We start from the raw sequence: 19,057 nt of genomic DNA on the forward strand, positions 1-19,057 counted from the left end.
AAGATTCTCTGTAGTAGATTTCTTTTATTAATTAATGTTCTATTTTTTCCATTCACTGATACCCTACATTTTATAGCTTCTAGGAAAATTATACTTGGTACAGTACTTTGACCCTAAATGTGTCCATGTGCAGGAAATAGTACAGTAATTGACACCCAGTTAGTGTTTAGTTAATCGTAGTTCTAAATTATGTGTCTAATGAAGAAAATTTGGAAATCACTTTGCTTAAGAATAAGGAAGTTTTGCAGGGCAAATGTATTAGTCTGTTCTCACGCTACTAATAAAGACATACTGGAGACTGTGTAATTTATAAAAAAAGAGGTTTAATGAACTCATGGTTCCTTATGGCTGGGGAGGCCTCACAATCATGGCGGAAGATGAAGGAAGAGCAAAGGGACTTCTTACATGGCAGCAGGCAACAGAGCTTGTGCAGGAGAACTCTTGTTTATAAAACCATCAGATCTCGTGAGACTTCACTCCCTATCATGAGAACAGCATGAGGGTAACCACACCCATGATTAAATTACCTCCCACTGGGTCCCTGCCACGACAAGTGGGGATTATGGGAACTACAATTCAAGATGAGATTTGGGTGAGGACACAGCCAAACCATATTAGCAAACATTTGAGCAAATGTGCTATCAACATTAAGAAGACCAACATCTAGGAGGCAGCACAGAGCTAATGCAAGAGCATTACACTTGGAGTCAGGATTGCTAAGAGCTCCTTGCAGATCTGCTACTGGGTGACTTGCAGATCTGCTACTGGGTAACTTCTCTGGGCCTCAGTTTCCTCATGTGTAAAACCAAGAGGACTGGCAGAAACACTAGCGGAGAGCCCTTCCGGCTCTAAGTCTGTGACACTTTGATGGCTCTTGTTCCTGGATGAAGGGACACCACTGGGAGAAATTTCTTCCTCCATAAGTCAACAAATTGGAATTAAAGTGCCTATGATTCCCTCCGTGAAGTTCGGTGCTGCCAACGATCACGATTCTCATGAACTCAATAAATTGTGCAATATTCTGGAAACAGCTGCCTCTCAGGGGTGGTGTTTAAGTCATCCAACTGGGAAAACAGAGGACACAAAATAATCGTAAAATGGTTTCAGGGAGACATAAGACTGACAGAAATAGAATCCCTGCTCTTTCTGGAATCGAACACTGCTGTTGCACCACAATTTCTGTGAGTTGGACCTAAAAGGAATGTCTTTACTTTTCAGGACTTGCTTTTTGTTCCTTAAAGAGCCAGGGAAATATGAAAGCAATCGATTTCTTCAGAATTCCAAAAGAAAGATATTGCTGTTTGCAAGACAAAGAAAAAAATTAAATGGAGATGGCAGCCTGTGTGTGCTGTTCCCTTCAGCAACGAGCAAACTGTGACCCAATTTGCAAGCCCTTGCAGGTTTGCAGGGTAGACCCTGGCGCTATCTCTTCCCATTAGTTTCTCTGGCAGTAGGACTGGCTGGGAGAAATTGGCTCAGTAGTACATCAGTAGTTATATTACACAGCAGCTGTGGAAAATTATTAAACTAACAGAGAGACAAATGGCTTGGGAGAGAATAAAGTTAGCAAGTCTGGAAACCCCCATTACAGTACATTATGTTGAGTTCCTTCTCCCTCTAGATTAAGACCCTGGTTCCTAAATGAGAATCCAAATTACAGCTAAACTTACTTTACTTACCTGTCTTCTTTTAAATTTGTTTCTCATTTTTCTTTGGCCAGTTAGAGATCATAGAACACTGTCCCATCTTATGCCATTTCTTTCCTCTTTGGTCTTGGACCATCTCTTCCTCTGTGCTGTCACTGGAGATATACAATTACACACGTTCAATCTCATGTGTTCCTCATACACACACACACTCATGTGGATACCCTGATATTCACTCTGCACACACATGCTCACATGCAAACACACCCTGTCTCACACACACTCATGGATGTGCACACACACTTTTGCACAATTTTTTTTTTTGAGATGGAGTCTTGCTCTGTTGCCCAGGCTGGAGTGCAGTGGCAGGATCTCGGCTCACTGCAACCTCCACCTCTCAGGTTCAAGTGATTCTCCTGTCTGAGCCTCCCTAGTAGCTGGGATTATAGGCTCGAGCCACCACGCCCAACTAATTTTTGTATTTTTAGTAGAGACAGGGTTTCACCATGTTGGCCAGGCTGGTCTTGAACTCCTGACCTCAAGTGATCCGCCTACCTCGGCCTCCCAAAATGCTGGGATTATAGGCATGAGCCACTGTGCCCGGTACATTTGCACACATTTTTGAGACTCCAGTGTCTGGGCTCTGGTTGAAAGGCCACTCTGAATTTTTTTCCACTCTCTGTGGTAGTTGGAACTATGTCTACTCCCAAGAGTTCAGACCACTCTGTTGAGAGTTCAGCATGTTTGTAAATGTAATTGGTTTATTAAACGGTATGAATTTAGTGAGAAACACACAAGAAGTATTTATTTTTCCTCCAAATGCAACCTTACAATATGTTCTGTTGAATCTGCATTTCATTTCTCTTAATGATAGGTCCCACAGCTTCTCGGTTATAATGCGGTTGGGGACCAGGCGCGGTGGCTCATGCCTGTAGTCCCAGCCACTCAAGAGGCTGAGGTAGGAGGATTGCTTGAGCCCAGGAGTTTGAGGCTGCAGTGAGCTATGATTGCACCACTGCACTCCAGCCTGGGTGACAGAGGGAGCCTGTCTCAAAAAAATAAAATAAAATGCAGTCGGGTCCAGATCAAAACTTAAATTTCTGGTCAGATTAGTGCTCATGTCCTTCTCCAAGAGCTGCCAGGCACGGAGAGTCTTGTCTAGAGGAGAGAGGAGTGGTTGGCTTTTTTATTTCTTTCACCTTCTGCTTATAGCCGCTGTGTAGTTGACATGAAACAAAGTGATTAGAGAAAAGGGACAAATGCTTTTATTTAGCTGCTGTTGTTGGAGCTCTCTCGGCTGTTTTTTTTTTTTAGATGGAGTCTCACTTTGTCGCCCAGGCTGTAGTGCAGTGGGGCAATCTCGGTTCACTGCAACCTCCACCTCCCGGGTTCAAGCAATTCTCCTGCCTTAGCCTCCCAAGTAGCTGGGACTACAGACACCTGCCACCATGCCCGGCTAATTATTGTATTTTTAGTAGAGACGGGGATTCGCCATGTTGACCAGGCTGGTCTTGAACTCCTGACCTCAAGTGTTCCGCTCACCTAGGCCTCTCAAAGTGCTGGGATTACAGGCTTCAGCCACTGCTCCCGGCCTTTCCTGGCTGTTGATGTCTGTAGATGGAGGCATCAGAAACCTGACTCTCCAGGTGGGTCACAGGTGGGTGCTTTGGAGGGTGATGTGCTTGCCTCCCCATGTATAGTTTGCTGATGTGGGGAGCTCATCTGGCTTGATGTTTCTGGCTGCACCACTCAGCCCCCATGCCCCCTGGCATGCTCACAGCAAGTGTGGCTTAGGTATTGTCCTGGGAAGCCTGGTCAGAGCTTTCCCCATTCTACAATGTCCAGGGCAGCTCTCACCTCCTGGCCATGCCATGGGGTGGGGTGTAGACCTTGTTACTGCTGCCCTCTGTTCTTCATGAAGAGCAGAGGAGCAGGTCTGCTGTAACAGAGGCTGTCCACCTGAAGACTGCCTGCCAGTGAGTCTTGCCTTCACCCCTATTCTTCACAAATGATCCTTTGGAGCCCCCCTGTATGTGGCTTTTGGGAGGGCATACCCATGTCAGGCAGAATTGTAATCCAGCCCCAAGATGCCTGCCCCTGATGTGGACACCTTGCACAATCCCCAAGATTACAATTATGATGGACTCAGCTCCTGCAATAGGTCCCTGACATATGGCACTGTCGACTTTAATAAAGGGATATTATTGGTCGGGGGTGGTGACTCATGCCTGTAATCCCAGAACTTTAGAAGGCTGAGGTGAGTGGATCACAATGTCAAGAGATCAAGACCATCCTGGCCAACAAGGTGAAACACCATCTCTACTAAAAATACAAAAATTAGCTGGGCATGGTGGCACGCACCTGTAGTCCTACCTATTCGGGAGACTGAGGCAGGAGAATCGCTTGAACTTGGGAGGTGGAGATTGCAGTGAGCCGAGATCACCCCACTGCACTCCAGCCTGGTGAAACAGTGAGACTCCGTCTCAAAAAAAAAAAAAAAAGAAAAAGAAAAAAAAAAGAAAGAAAGAAAGAAAGAAAGAAAGAAAGAAAGAAAGAAAGAAAGAAAGAAAGAAAGAAAGAAAGGGATATTACGGAGGGTGGGTCTGACCTAATCAGGAAAGTGCTAAAAAGGGGCTGGGCTCTTCCTGGAAAGGGATTTGAAGCATGAGAATCATTTAACTTGGGAGCTTTGCTGGCTTTGAAGATGGAGGGGTCATGTGGTGAGGAATGTGGGTGCCCTCTAAGAGCAGCCCCTGACTGACAGTCAGCAAGGAAGTGGAAACCTCAGTCCTATAGCTACAAGGAACTGAGTTCTGCCAATAACCACAAGAAGCTGGAAGAGGACTTGGAACATCAGGTGTGAACCCAGCCAGCCAACAGCTTGGTTCCAGCCTTGTGGCACCCTGAACGAGAACCCAGCTACATGGTGCCTGGACTTCTTAGCTACCGAGCCGTGAGCTGGTGAATTCATGTTGTTTTAAGCCACTAAGTTGGTGCCAATTGTTAGAAAGCAATAGAAACTGAAGAGTACATTGCCCCTTCACCTGCTAGTGGGGAAGAGAGAGAAAAGGCCCCAGCACCTTTCATCTAAGTCAACAACTCCCAATTCCAACTAGTTTTTTGCAAATATGATCTGGGGGCAAATGGTGGATTGATTGTAGCAGGGTCAAATAGCCTTGGAGAAGTGTCTGGCTTCCATCCAAGTCAATTATCTTTAGGGGCCGTTAGTATTACTGTTTTCAACCTTGGGTTTTTGGCCACAATTCCCAGACAACAGAAAAAGTCCTGTTCAACATCCTGCTACCCATGAGAAAAGCAGTGGTCCCAATACCTTTATTCTTTTATAATCACGATGTTGAACAAGTATGGCTTCAGGGTGTAATTATTAAGTCATTTTATTTTTGTCTCCTATAGCTCCTTTGTGCTGTGGAGCTAATTAGTCTCTTGCTCCTGGATCACCATGACTTTTATGGTCACCTTCAGGGAATGAGAAGTCTTCTAATCAGTAATTAATGTCTCATTCAGAGACATCACCAAAACTTGCCACTTCATTCAAGGTTACAGCTATACCCTTTTCCCTACCATTGTAGGTGCTGAGAGGGAGGGGAGTGGTTGACTTTGATTTTCTCCAACTTGAGCTTTGATTTGCCAGCCACATCCCCCGACACTCTGGTTTTCTATCTCTGTGAGATTAGAGGAGAGGAGAGAGGACAAGGAAGGGAATGCCCCAGGCTTGTCTTTACCGAAGGTAAAACATCACCCACATAGGGTATCTCTAGAGAACCCATGAGAGCCCTCATCAGTCACTGTAAACCGTCAGAGCCCAGAGAGTGAGAGGCCAGCCTAGGACAGATTCAGTCACGTGGAGCTTTCCTTCTCCTTCCTTCCTTGTCCATTTTTCATTTATTTGGCCCCGTCTGCTGGAGTGTCTCCGTGCTCCTGCCCTAAATGTTCCTAATTTCTGTCTCCTCTTCTTCCTCTGAGGGATGCCTCGGGGTAGGTGTTTCTCAACATTCTGACTTTTACTTTCTTCTCCTCTTTTTGATACTCTAGCTGCTGTTTGTTGTGTTTGTTTGTTTTTGGAGATGAGGTCTCCCTATGTCACCCAGGCTAGTCTTGAACTTCTGTCCTCAAGCAATCCTTCCACCTCCACCTCCCAAGTAGCTGGGACTACAGGCACACGCCACCATGCCTGGGTGATTTTTAATTTTTGTTTTTGTAAAGACAGGGTCTCACTACATTGCCCAGGCTGGTCTCAAACTCCTGGGCTCAAGTGATCTTCCTGCCTCAGCCTCCCTAAGTGCTGGGATTGCAGGTGTGAGCCATCATGCCTGTTTGGCTGGTGTTTTTCATGTGTTCCTGCGGCTTTGACTCTTAGGTTGAGGTGAGTGATTTTGTTTTTATTTATTTATTTTTATTTTTTGAGATGGAGTCTTGCTCTGTCGCCCAGGCTGGAGTGCAGTGGTGTGATCTTGGCTTATTCCAACCTCTGCTTCCCGGGTTCAAGTGATTCTCCTGCCTCAGCCTCCCAAGTAGCTGGAATTACAGGTATGTGCCACCACGCCAGGCTAATTTTTTATTTTTAGTAGAGACAGGGTTTCGCCTTGTTGGTCAGGCTGTCCTTGAACTCCTGACCTCGGGTGATCCACCCACCTTGGCTTCCCAAAGTGTTGGGATTACAGGCGTGAGCCACTGCACCCAGCCAGGTGGCTGATTTTAAAATCTGCATTTCCAGAACTCCCTCTCCTCTGAGCTCCAGTTCTGTATTCCTGATTGTACATTGGAGATCTTGACCCAAAAGGCCCACAGCCTTCTAAAGTCCCACATGTTTCAAAGGAAAGCCATCGCTCTCCTGCCCCCTTCCACCTCCCTCTCAATCCTTGTTTTTCTTAACTGTACCTCTGTTCTCCATCCACCCAGGCTGCCCAACATCTGACTGCTCCTTCTTCCTTAGTCTCTACATCAAATCCACCAAGTCCTTCCATTCTGCCTTCTCAATAGCTTTTTGTTTTGCTTTTTAATCTTATCAAAATTGAATTGTTAAAATTTTTTTTTTGCTTTATTTCAATAGCTTTAGGAGTAAAGGTGGTTTTTGATTACATGAACGCATTGTATGGTGGTGGAGTCTGGGCTTTCAGTGTACCCATCACCCGAACAGTGAACATTGTACATAATAATTTTTCATCCCTTATCCCCCTCCCACACTTCCCCCTTCTGAGTCTCCAAAGCCCATTATATCTCTGTATGCCCCTGTGTACCCAAAGGTTAGCTCCCATGTGTAAGTGAGAGCATGTGGTATTTGGTTTTCCATTCCTGAGTTGCCTCACTTAGGATGATGGCCTCCAGATCCATCCAAGTTTCTGCAAAAGACATTATTTTCCTCTTTTTTTTAAATGGCTGAGTAGTATTCCATGGTGTGTGTGTGTGTGTGTGTGTGTGTGTGTGTGTGTGTGTGTGTATGTGATATGGTTTGGCTGTGTCCCCACTCAAATATCATCTTGAATTGTAGCTCCCATAATTCCCACGTGTCATGGGAAGGTCTCATTGGGAGGCAATTTAATCATGGGGGCGGGTCTTTCCCATGCTGTTCTCGTGGCTGTGAATAAGTCTCACAAGATCTGATGGCTTTATGAAGGGGGGTTCCCCTGCACATATCTTCTTGCCTGCCGCCATGCAAGATGTGACTTTGCTTCTCTTTTGCCTTCTGCCATGATTGTGAGGCCTCCCCAGCCATGTGGAACTGTGAGTCAATTAAACCTCTTTCCTCTATAAATTACCCAGTCTCAGGTATGTCTTTATTAGCAGCATGAGAGCTGACTAATACAGTGTGTGTGTGTGTACACACCACATTTTCTTTGTGCACTCATCAGTTTATGGGCATTTAGGTGATTCCACATCTTTGCAATTGTGAATTGTGCTGCAATAGACATTTGCATGCAGGTGTCTTTTTAATATAATGATTTATCTTTCTTTGAGTAGATGTCCAGTAACGGGATTGCTGGATTGAATGGTAGATATACTTTTTGCTCTTTGAGAAATCTCCAGACCGTTTTCCACAGAGGTTGTACTAATTTACATTCCCACTAACATTGTATTCGCTTTCCCTTTTCATCAAATCTGTGCCAACATCTATTATTTTTTGACTTTTAAATAATGGCCATTGTGATGGGGGTAAGGTGGCATCTTACCACAGGGGCTTTTGAATGGGACTCCTCCTCCCCATCACAGCTGCTCCTCCCTTGGTCCAAAACTCAGAGGCAACAGTCTGTCTTTCTATCAATATGCTTTTAAAATACATACATACATACATAAATATTTTTGTAGACTGGGATCATACTCCTCCTGTTATTCTATAAATTGATTTTTTTCCCACTTAACAATATATTGTGGAAATCTTTTAAAGTCACTTCTTATTCATCCACAATAGTTTTCAAATATTATGACAGTTGAGGACTTTGGGTTTTGCCTTCTGTTGTTCAGATAGAGTTCTCATGGTCTCTTTCTCCTTTTCAGTTCCTGGTGACCTGAATTCCCATGGAGGAAAGAGGAAAAGGACATTATGCAAGGAGATGGCATCTCGTGTCCCTGGTGAACCAAATTCCATTAGGAAGACGGTGCAGTGTGAGGTGGACCTGGACCTGGATAAAATGGGTGTTTAACAAGTATTTGTTGAGTAGGTGGTGGAGGAGGCACGACTAGATGCAGGGTCTAGCTGAGTTGACAAGAGCTAACACCAGGTGTGGACCAGGACAGGGGGACCTTAAGCGAAGACACCCTGCCAGATGTGTCTTGTTCCCTTGACTGTGGGGAGGCCCTTGGTGGTGGGGTGACGGTCCCCCAGTCTGAGGATTTTCCCTGGATGTAGCCTCTCAGTGCTAAAATGGGACAGTCCCAGGCAAACCAGGTCAGTTGGTCACTCTACTCAGTGAGCCCCGTGCTGTGTTCAAATTTTCCTCTTAACAGATGTGGATGGATTTCGGAAACTTAGAAACCACCATTTCTCTGTGCCTGGGAGGAGAGTTAAATCTTCTCACCAGAATCCTTTTATGTGTGAGAGAAATAAATATCTATCCTTTTTATATCTCTTTTGTTTTGGATTCTTTGTCACCAGCAGCCAAACCCAATTCTTACATAAACGTGATACTAATTAAATTCATTTGCATAAACTCACCAGTTTTATCCTTAATTACTGTGATATACACTCATGAAGTATGTACCCTAAAATACCACTGTAAGTTTTATTTGATTACAGCATTAAACTTAATTTACAGAAATGCTTGGCTTCTTTCAATAGCTTGTTGATTACATAGTATGATCATCTTCTGATAACTTAAAAGAAAAAAAATGGAAGGACCCGTATTCCTTCCAGCTTGTGAATGGAGGCCCAGGGCACCAGACCCTGCTATTGAATTTGAATAAATGGGATCTCTTTTGAACAGAATCTGAGAGATGGCATTAACATATACCTCATGGCCAAAGTGCATTACATTTAGCCTTTACTGCAGACAGTTGTTTTTGGAGACACACTATGACCTTTGGTATATCTGCATCTGTGAAACAATAAAGCATTCTTTAAATGAAGATTTTGCTGTATTACAAATGACTGGAGAGGGTTTTAAACATTATTATTCTAGTGCTGGTCTGCTTCCCTTCTTTCTCTTAAATAATCTGCTTTAAGCGTTCAAAGGGTCTACTCATCTCAGGACATGACTATAGCTAATTTGCTGAGAGCCTCTGAACATACCCCAAGCCTGCTTAGGACATCTGCAGGGAAGTTAAATCATTTTAAGTGGAGGAATTAGGCTAATGTTTTCTGCTAGGAAGAAACCTTGAATCTGGTATTCTGAACAAGACTTCAAATGGTGGAAACAAATTACGCTGTAGATATACAAAAGAAAAATAAATCCATCTTATTTTACTGGGAGCTTGACACTTTTATTTAGAGAATTTATATTTCTGAATGCTCCCTTCATACCTTATGGATGCATTTCAAATGTGGCTGTTAGGTTGATGATCTACTTCTTAAAAACAGATCAGGGAGAAAGAGGAGATTGGGGCCACTTTAGAATAAGAAAGAAAGAAAAGAGAAGATTTATTTAACAATGAGATGAATCTGAGCAAAATGAATCTTTTTCTTGCAAAAGCAGGCAAATTCTGATAGGCTTGAGAGATTCTGAATGAAAAAAATGTTCTTTTGCAAATGACTTTTGCACTGCCACTATCTCCCCAAGACTTTGTGTTTTTTTTTCTTTTTTGAGACAGGGTCATGCAGGCTGGAGTGCAATGGCAATCCTCCTGCCTCAGCCTCTGAGTAGCTGGGACTACAGGCACACTCTACCATGACCAGCTGATTTTTTATTTTTTGCAGCGACAAGGTCTCATTACCTTGCACAGGCTGGTCTTGAACTCCTAGTTTTAAGCGATCCTCCCATCTCAGCCTCCCAAAGTGCTGGGATTATAAGCGTGAACCACCGGCCCTGCTTCCCCAAGATTTTAACGTGGAAAACCTAAGTGGGAATTCTATGTAATGGACCATGATCCACTATACATCAGTTACAGATGTGCGCATTGTTGTGTGTGTTTTCATAAGCTTTCCAATGTGGACGTTCAACACTGAATGCTACTCGCTGCGCACGTAGGATAAACTGGTGAGCTGAGGTTATTTGCTGGAGACAGCCTGGGGAATTAACAGCCGAGGGGATAAAAGGTAGCTGCAGGGTAGATTCTGATTGGCTTTTAAATGATTGCTATAGGGCAGTTGGTGGTGCTGAGAGAGGCGAGAGAGGTGTAGTTTGTGAACTAAGCAGGCAGAGTTGCCGATCCTTATTCACTCCTGGGCCCTAATGAAAGCCAAGTTATCTACACCATGACCAACTCAGTGCAAACTATTTCCTCAGTGCTGGGGGTCTGTAAGGGAGAGCCCATCTCTTGGTGCAGACTTTTCTGGGAGGAGTTAAGACAATAAGCAGATGTCTGAATAAAAATGAAGCCCACGCCCTCCCCCCGTCTCACTGCTCTTGTTTTTCTCTGCTATTAGCCATATTTTGAATCTCAGCCTCTCACCATGGGATACCATAAGCTAAGAGATCTAGTGAAATATTCTGAAAGTGCATGTTCTAGAAACCGCACGTTCTTTCCTTTCTTCAAAGGCATCTGGCAATTGGCTTCTTCACATTGTTGAACCACTATCAGAAGGGGTGAGGGCTAGGCATGGTGGCTCATACTTGTAAACCCAGCCCTTTGGGAAGCCGAAGCTGGAGGATCACTTGAGGCCAGGAGCTTGAGATCAGCTGGGGCAACAGACTAAGACCCCAACTCTGCCAAAAATTAAAATATTAGCCAGGTATGGTAGTGCACACCTGTAGTCCCAGCTATTCAGGAAGCTGAGGCAGGAGGATCACTTGAGCCCAAGGAGTTCAAGGCTGCAGTGAGCCATGATTGTGCCACCATACTCCAGCCCAGGTGACAGTGCAAGGCCCTGTCTCAAAAAGTAAAAATTTAAAAAAGGGTTGGGCAAGGAACCACACAGTTGCTCCTGGCTTTTCTAGGCTGTAGGGTCTGATTGTCCTTCTGAACGTATGCATGGCTAGGCCAGCCCATGAATCAGACTCCAGTCCCGCTGTGTCAGATTCTGGGACTGCTTAGAATCTCTGTAAGCTCATCTATAAAATAATGATTCAGAAAAATTGTGAACCACTAGCTGATTCCCTTGTCATTGTGAATAAGCATCATATTTTCCCTCCGTGCCAGGTAGCATTATTCTTCCTCTTAACATCTTGCTGGAGAAGAATGGTGCCTGGGAGTTTTCAATCTTGCTCTCTTGGAGGGCATCCCAGTGTGACAATGAGCTCATTCTTGCAAGGATATGGTCTATATTGGCATTTGTTTCCTGATAGTGATGCATCAGGAATACCTGTAACACTGTGGTACTCCTTCCAGCTGGATTTCTCCACTGGGCTAATTCAGAATGCAGCATTTCATCTTGAGAGAAAATCCAACATTTCTTTTGTCCTTTACTTAGCCTCCCAAAGATGACTGCAGCCAAGCAGGTGTCTACGACCAGAGCTTATTTCACACCCATATTTATCCTAAGAATATGAAATGTGCAATAGCCCCCATCCTCCCTCAAAAAGATCTATCAGCAAAAATAAAGCTCATGTTACCCTTAGAAAGATCTTCAATTGTTTTGCAAGTGGTTTCTCATTTCTTGAGACATTGAGAAAGTTTGACCTAAAAAGGTTGCTTTTTAATATATTTTATTGAAAAGAGAGAAGGTGATGCTCTTGTCACTAAGCAACTTGAATAGGGAAGAGCGCCCATGGTTGTTTGTTGTATAAACGGGGCAATAATGAAGATAACGAATTCCTGACCTTTTTCTATTTCTTTATAAACCAGCTCGAAATGCCATTTCAGTGTCTGAACACATTAATATAATGGGAGAGACACTGTTCACACCCTGAACCTTGACCTTTGCAAGCAGAGGGGAGAATGCTGGTATACTAGTTTTTTTATGAGAAAGGCCAGCCTAATTTTTATCATTAGGTTGGAGGCATGAAGTACATGTCATCACTACTTCAGATATTTATTCTGGGATTTTGTTCCTTGGCTCCATTTCAAAGGCTACTTGACCAACTACTTTGTGCCTGTAATTCAAAATGTTATCTGGGGCTGTTTTTCAGTAGAGGGAGGCACTTAGAGTCAGAGAGATACATGGATCTGTTTTCCTACTGAACAGATGAAGAAATAGAGTGTTCAGTGGGTTTGCCTAATGTCACCACACTGAAACAGGCTCCAGGGCTGTCACTAGAATTTACTCAGGTTAATATGCAAAACTTAGAGAGCCTAAACAATGAATTTCCCATAGTGAAGTTTCTTTTCTGAAAAGGGTAGTAAACTTGGACATAAGAAGAAAAAAAAAGACTTACATCTAATATTCATACTTACATGGCCCTTAGAGACAAGACTTCTCTCCTTTCTCACAATACAAAGTCATTTTCATTCACTCATTCATTAAGGCAGTCATTTATTCACCCAGTAGACATTTATTGAGCACATATTACATGCTAGGTATTGAGTTGGGAGCTGAGAATTCCAAGATTCTGAATAGGCCAGTCTCTGCTTCAGAGAGCTCCAAACCCGATGAGGGAGAGAAGATCATTTCAAGCTGATAAGCAACACTAAATCAGTGTGCAGCCATGTACCCTATAAATATATACACCTACTATGTACCCACCCCCCAGGAAATTAAAAATAAAATACAAAATAAAAAAAGGAGTTAAGGTTTTAAAAAAAATGTGTCTCGAATGCCAGTCAAGGATGGGATGAGGATTCAGGAATGCCTTCTGGAAGAGGTGGCTGGAGTTGTGTCCTAGAAGCAGGAGTTATCTATGTGGATTTTGAAGGAATAGGAGAGGAAAAGGCATTCCAGGCTGGCAGTGTAATGGATACAAAGGCTGCCAAGTAGGAAGCAGTGTGCTGTGTGAATACGTAGCCCGGTGCAGGTGCGATAGAGAGGCAGAATAGGGTAGTTGTTGAAAGCCTTCTCTGCATGACCTGATACAGAGACCTTGACCAAAGAAAGTTCCACCTCTATATCTTAATGATTGCCAAGGGAGGAAAAGAGATTGCGTAGAATTGTACACTGGCTTTTAAATCTTCCATTTGGGGGTGACATATTGTTTGCCTCTCATTTCATTGACTAAAGTAAGTCACACCATCATGCCTAACTTCCAAGGGGACAGGAAAGTGTAATCCTGTTATTTGCCCAGAAGGAGGAAAAATGGAATCACTGTGATTACCACAGCAAAGGAACTATTAGTTAGATATTATCAGAAAAATGTAAAATTGAAACTATTCTATTTGATGGGTATTATTCCTTTTTAAAATCTGGTTCATAGATGACGTCCTCGCCAAAAAGTATCCTCATTTTTTTCCTTGGGTCATATTTCCAAGTCATTGACTTTGGAAGGCACAGGAGGAAGCAGTCCTTCTCAGAATGAAACATTCTTTTGTTGTGATTGGTTTCCTGAAGTGGTCACCTGGTTCCACTTATTTAAAAATCTATCTGTGTTCATACTGTTTTACCAGAACTTTGGGAGCGTGGTGTCCCATTTTTGGTGATCTACAAAAAGATAACAATGAAACTCTCAGCTCATCCGCAATGGAAGATGGGTGTAATTGACTGCTATGCTCTTGCCTCTTGCTAGGTGGTGTTTACTATTAATTACTCAGTGTTTGTTTGGGGTATTGAACAGTATTGATCAACTCAGCTAATCAATGTATGCCAAGTCCATGAATTTCACAGGATATTCTAAAGTTCACCTCCTAGAACAAGGGAGCCTGAAGTTGGAGCCTGAAGGTTTGCATTATACTGTAGTGGTCTCCTAAAAAGATCGCTTCTTCTGAAGGGTGTTTTGGTGCAAAGGAGGGTACTAGAAGAAGTAGGCTGCTGTAAGACATGGTCCTATGTAAATTGTTATGAGTCTGTTATAAGAACGTTGTCCTACTTAGAAGGAACCCTCCCACTTCCTGAAGAGAAAGCCGCACTTCTCCTAAGCAGTGGTTTGTTTTTCATGTCATGGACACTTTTATCATTAGCTGCTGGGAAACATAAACCTACATTGTAGCTCAGGAGTTTTAAGTGAAGAATTCATTATGAAATGCACACTGTCATCAGCACTCTCCATTTGTGTCCATTTGTGTTACTCTCTGTGTTTTCTTTCTTCTATTCTCCCCACTTTTAATGTCTGTTACCCTGTATTTTACATTTAAAAAATTCTTTCTGAAATAAGGTGGAAAATTAACATGTAATAGAAGGGGAAAATTGAAAGTTTCTTATAATTGACCTTTTCTGTTCTGTACCCTCCATTCCTGATTGGAAAAAAAAAAAAAAGTGCAACTCATTTAAAGGTAACCCAGCCTCTTGTAGTAAAAATAATCTTTATAAAATAAATATTTCCTGTTTCAAAGTACAGATTTACTCAGAGGGGTATTTCCTCATCTTGAGTTGTCTTTCTCTTCCATCTTTCTTCAAATGGCATTTAGGAGTGGGGAGAAGGTCTGAAGGGAAGGAGAAGTAGATTGTTACTTTAGTAACAGTGTGCATGTCTATATGTGTGTGGTGGGGAGGGTAGTACGTAGAAAATGAGTTTAAATAAGGATGTATTGAGTTGGAACTGCCTGTGAATAATCTGGGAGGCAGGTAGTTGGCTGTCTGTGTTTAATGTTTAACAAATTCTAATGAGACATTGTTACTTTAACTTGTGAGTCAATATGATTTTTGAGAGTTTGAGCAGTGGAGGAAAGAGGAAGCCATCTTTGTAGTACCACAGTTCATCTTGAGGAGGCCTAGAGTCACTCTATTCTACCTCCCACCTACTCAGCCCTCATTTGTAGGTCACTGATTTATATCTCAAAACTTTAGTATAAACATGTCTGTGAAAGTTTTTTTGTTTGTTTGTTTGAGACAGAGTCTCACTCTGTCACCCAGGCTGGAGTTCAGTGGTGCCATCATAGCTCACTGCAGTCTTGGACTTCTGGGTTCAAGTAATCCTCCTGCCTCAGCCTCCTGAGTAGTTAGGACTACAGGTGTTTAACACTGGGCTTGGCTAATTTTTTTTTCTATTTTTAGAGATGGGATCTTGCTGTGTTGCCCAGGCTGGTCTCAAACTCCTGGCCTCAAGCAATTCTTCCACCTTGGCCTCCCAAAATACTGGGATTACAAGTGTGAGCCACTGCATCTGGCCTATGAGAGATGTTTTAAAAATTAAAAATACACATATTAACCAGTGAGCACAGCAAAGCACTCATTTCCCGAGAAAACTCACCTAAGTGGACAATGACATTTGGTGTAGACAGGTGGGGTTGGGGGTAGGATGTGAGTGTCAGGGCAAGTCTAGACATAGGCTTTGTTGGTGAGGGGCTAAGCAGTGGCTCCTCCAAATTATTTGGTTGAGAAGGGGCAATTTGAGAAAAGGAGAGATGGAAAAGGGAAAGGCAAGAGTTGCCCATTTTGTTGGGGTCCCAAAGATGGTGACTGATTGTAAGGTTGCCTTTTAAGTGGAATAGGAAGGCAAGAAGATGTGCACCCCCTGAGACAGACTAGGGAACCTTCTACCTGAGAGACATGTTACTATGTGAATGCCAACTATCGGATGCATCTACGCTCCATCATTTTCTTGAAGGAACGATGTCTGCTTTCACTTTTAGCTCCAGTTTCAGCTAGGCTCAGGAGTGACATTGATGCCAGGAGCTCCATAGAAGCAGGACTGAATGCCTCTGGTCTTTCGGCAAGTTGTTTCCATCACGTCCTAGCAAGTAGCGTGTCTGGAGCCATCACATGGCATGACATTCTGTAAGGGGCTTGCTCATTATTTACTGAGCATGTCAAAGTGTTGGCTGCCTTCAGGGCTCTCAAGGGAGCACATATTTGCCAGAGCACCTCGATGAGAAATACAAGCAAGTTGTAAATTTGCTACTCATTTTAAAGGCTGTCACTGAGAATGCATATTCTGTTAGCTCCCTTTCCTGCTGAGGCTTCTGGGTGCAGAGAAATAAATATAATAAGTATTATGTGTATTGAGAAACAAATATAATATCAGGATATTTTAGCCAGGGTGACTGCTATGAACTGGGCATCACAACTAAAGTATAAATAAGATCTCGTTTCTTTTGTGTTTTTCAACGAATGACATAATTGCTCATGTGCTTTATGAATAGGAAGACTAGTACCTTCCTCTTGAGTTTTACCCTCCAGAGGCTAAATTGTGCAAAATCTCTGGGGAGGTTTGGACAGACCGCCTTGAAATCTCATTGCCACAGAGACTTGCCGTTGAAAGCCTGTCTTCTGCAGGCTGACAGGTGATGCTTGTCCATCCTGCAATGATGTCTTAGTGGCCCAGATCTCTACAGAGGTTGATATGGTTTGGCTGTGTCCTCACTGAAATCTCATCTTGAATTGTAGTTACCATAATCCCCATGTGTTGTGGGAGTGACCAAGTGGGAGGTCATTTAATCATGAGGGCAGTTACCCTCATGCTGTTCTCATGATAGTAAATGAGTTCTCAAGAGATCTGATTATTTATAAGGGGATTTTTCCACTTTTGCTCATTCTTCTTCTCCCTGCCACCATGTGAAGAAGGACATGTTTGCTTCCCTTTCCACCATGATTGTAAGTTTCCTGAGGCCTCCCCACAGTTCAGCTAACTGTGAGTCAATTAAATCTCTTTCCTTTATGAATTACCCAGTCTCAGGTATGTCTTCATTAGCAGCATAAGAACGGACTAATACAGAGGGGGCCCTGGACCTTCCAGCACCATGACCCCATTTTTCTCAAAGCTGCAGCAAGCCTCCCTGAACTTGGGCTCCCCAGATTGTAATTCTTTCTGTTTGGTTCATTTAGCAGCCAACACACTGGGTGCCCGCTGCTGCAGAAGCACAGGTCATTCCTGAGCTGAACATCTGCCCTTTGCTCCCCTGGACCCATAGTTCTCTTTACCTTTACCAGCTAGTCACCCTTGGGACCTTCACTAAGCAGAGGTTCAAGGGTCTACGGATGCAACAGTGCCTGAGACAGACATGGGCACTGCTTCTCGGGGCAACTTAGTGAGTAGATGGGATACTCACTAGGATACAGAGGTGGAGAGTGAGAAGAGAAATGAGCCTACGGCAGAGTAATGTCAGAATCAACATTGAAGGAATGGGAAGAGGAAGAGGAACCTTCAAATAAGATTGAAATGGAGAGTAGGGGAATTTTTAAGAGGTCAAAGGAGGTAGGAGAAAAATGTAGAGAATACAGTCTATCTAAAGAAAATATTATGCTTTAAAAAAGAGAGGTGGCCAACATTGATCAACACTGCGGAGGGCTTAAAATAAAGTCAAAGACCCAGAGCACTTAGCAATTAGGGGGTCATTGGTGGAAACAGGTGAGAATGGTGTTCAGGGAGTAGTGAAAGTGGCAGCTACTTGAGGACCAAATGGGAAGTGAGGAAGCAGACAGTAAGTTTTGACAGTTCCTTAGGTTTTCTGTGGAAGGGAGGCTAGGAGATAGGATGGTAGATGAAAAAGGATACAGTGGTTTTTGTTTTGGTTTAATTTTTTTGGGGGGAGGATTTTGTAGGGATCGGGTCTCACTGTGTTGTCCAGGCAGGTCTTGAACTCCTGGCCTCAAGTGATCCTCCTACCTCAACCTTCCAAAGTGCTGTGATAACAGGTGTGAGCCACTGTGCCCGACTAGTATGTTAGTTTTCAAAATGTTTTATATTTATATTGTTCTTTATAGCCTACAGAACATTTTTGGAAGCATTATTTTAATACTTTATTACAACATTTAATAACTGCAACATTAATTCTCAAGATTAATTCTTAATACTTCAACTTGGGAGAGAACAGAAGGATTAAAGAGCTGGCATTACTATTCACAATAACAAAGACATGGAATGGATCTAGGTGCCCATCAACAGTGGATTGGATAAAGAAAACGTGGTACATATGCACCATGGGATACTACAAAGCCATAAAACAGAATGAAATCATGTCCTTTGGGACAACATGGATACAGCTGGAGGCCATTATCCTAAGTGAATTAAAGCAGGAACAGAAAAAAAATACCACATATTCTCAGTCATAAGTGGGAGCTAAACATTGGATACTCATGGACATAAAAATAGCAACAATAGACACTGGGGACTACTTGGTGGGGAGGGAGAAGGGAACAAGGGTTGACAAACTAACTATTGGATACTATGCTTAGTTCCTGGTTGACAGGATCAGTTGAACCCCAAACCTCAGCATCACACAATATACCCATGTAACAAACCTGCACATGTACCCTCTGAATCTAAAATAAAAGTTGAAATTATATTTTAAAAAGAGCTAGCATTTATTTTGTACCTCACATGTGCCAGGCACCTTACACATTATTTTATTTAATATTCACAAAAACCATATGATGCTGGTACTATCCCTGTTCTACAGACAAAGAAGCAGAGGCTTAGATCTTGACTGAAGTCATTTAGCTACAGAATGCCTGGGATTCAAACTCAAGTCTGCTGATGCCATAGCCCTTACACTTTCCACTGGGCAATATTTGCTTAGAAAGATATTGAAATAATCTTTTGCATCTTTGCAGCCACCCTCTGAGGTGGATAAGAACACTGAAAGGTTGATAATCTCATTCCCAGCAAAGGCCAAGGCAGGAGTAACTGAACTCTAGGCCCCTGTCTTCCAGTCTGCACTGCCCGTGACTCTGAACTGGAATAAATGGGGAACTCGTTGTGTTACTTGTTTTGATTCATCTTTTTTAAATGTTAAGTATGGCTCACATTTATTTCAATGTTTAATATTAGAAGTGTTTTGGGTCTTTTTGGAAGTTCGGTCATGTTTTTGTGATCAGAAATAGGCCATAGGTTCTT

The 19,057-nt window shown here is 43.0% G+C and overlaps 2 long non-coding RNA genes across 2 annotated transcripts in view, besides 1 other annotated feature; one reads left to right on the forward strand and one right to left on the reverse strand.

The window, feature by feature from the left end:
• The window catches only part of ITGB1-DT (ITGB1 divergent transcript), a 99,552-nt gene extending 90,632 nt beyond the window's left edge, over positions 1 to 8,920 (forward strand). The window contains exon 3 of the long non-coding RNA NR_184020.1: positions 8,160 to 8,920. This is a non-coding gene — a long non-coding RNA (ITGB1 divergent transcript). The remainder of the gene's footprint in view (positions 1 to 8,159) is intronic.
• The window catches only part of IATPR (ITGB1 adjacent tumor promoting lncRNA), a 42,782-nt gene continuing 24,568 nt past the window's right edge, over positions 844 to 19,057 (reverse strand). The window contains exons 2-3 of the long non-coding RNA NR_160030.1: positions 1,680 to 1,801; positions 844 to 1,064 (exon numbers count right to left, since the gene is read on the reverse strand). This is a non-coding gene — a long non-coding RNA (ITGB1 adjacent tumor promoting lncRNA). The remainder of the gene's footprint in view (positions 1,065 to 1,679; positions 1,802 to 19,057) is intronic.
• Positions 2,747 to 3,248: an enhancer, noted in NCBI's record as "H3K27ac hESC enhancer chr10:33364857-33365358 (GRCh37/hg19 assembly coordinates)". NCBI's record gives its function as "activates a minimal SCP1, AML or CMV promoter by ChIP-STARR-seq in primed H9 embryonic stem cells {active_cell/tissue: H9 hESC(primed)}" and the evidence as "EXISTENCE:reporter gene assay evidence [ECO:0000049][PMID:30033119]".

The sequence above is a fragment of the Homo sapiens genome, chromosome 10, assembly GCF_000001405.40.
Source record: "Homo sapiens chromosome 10, GRCh38.p14 Primary Assembly".
NCBI classification, from domain to species: domain Eukaryota; kingdom Metazoa; phylum Chordata; class Mammalia; order Primates; family Hominidae; genus Homo; species Homo sapiens.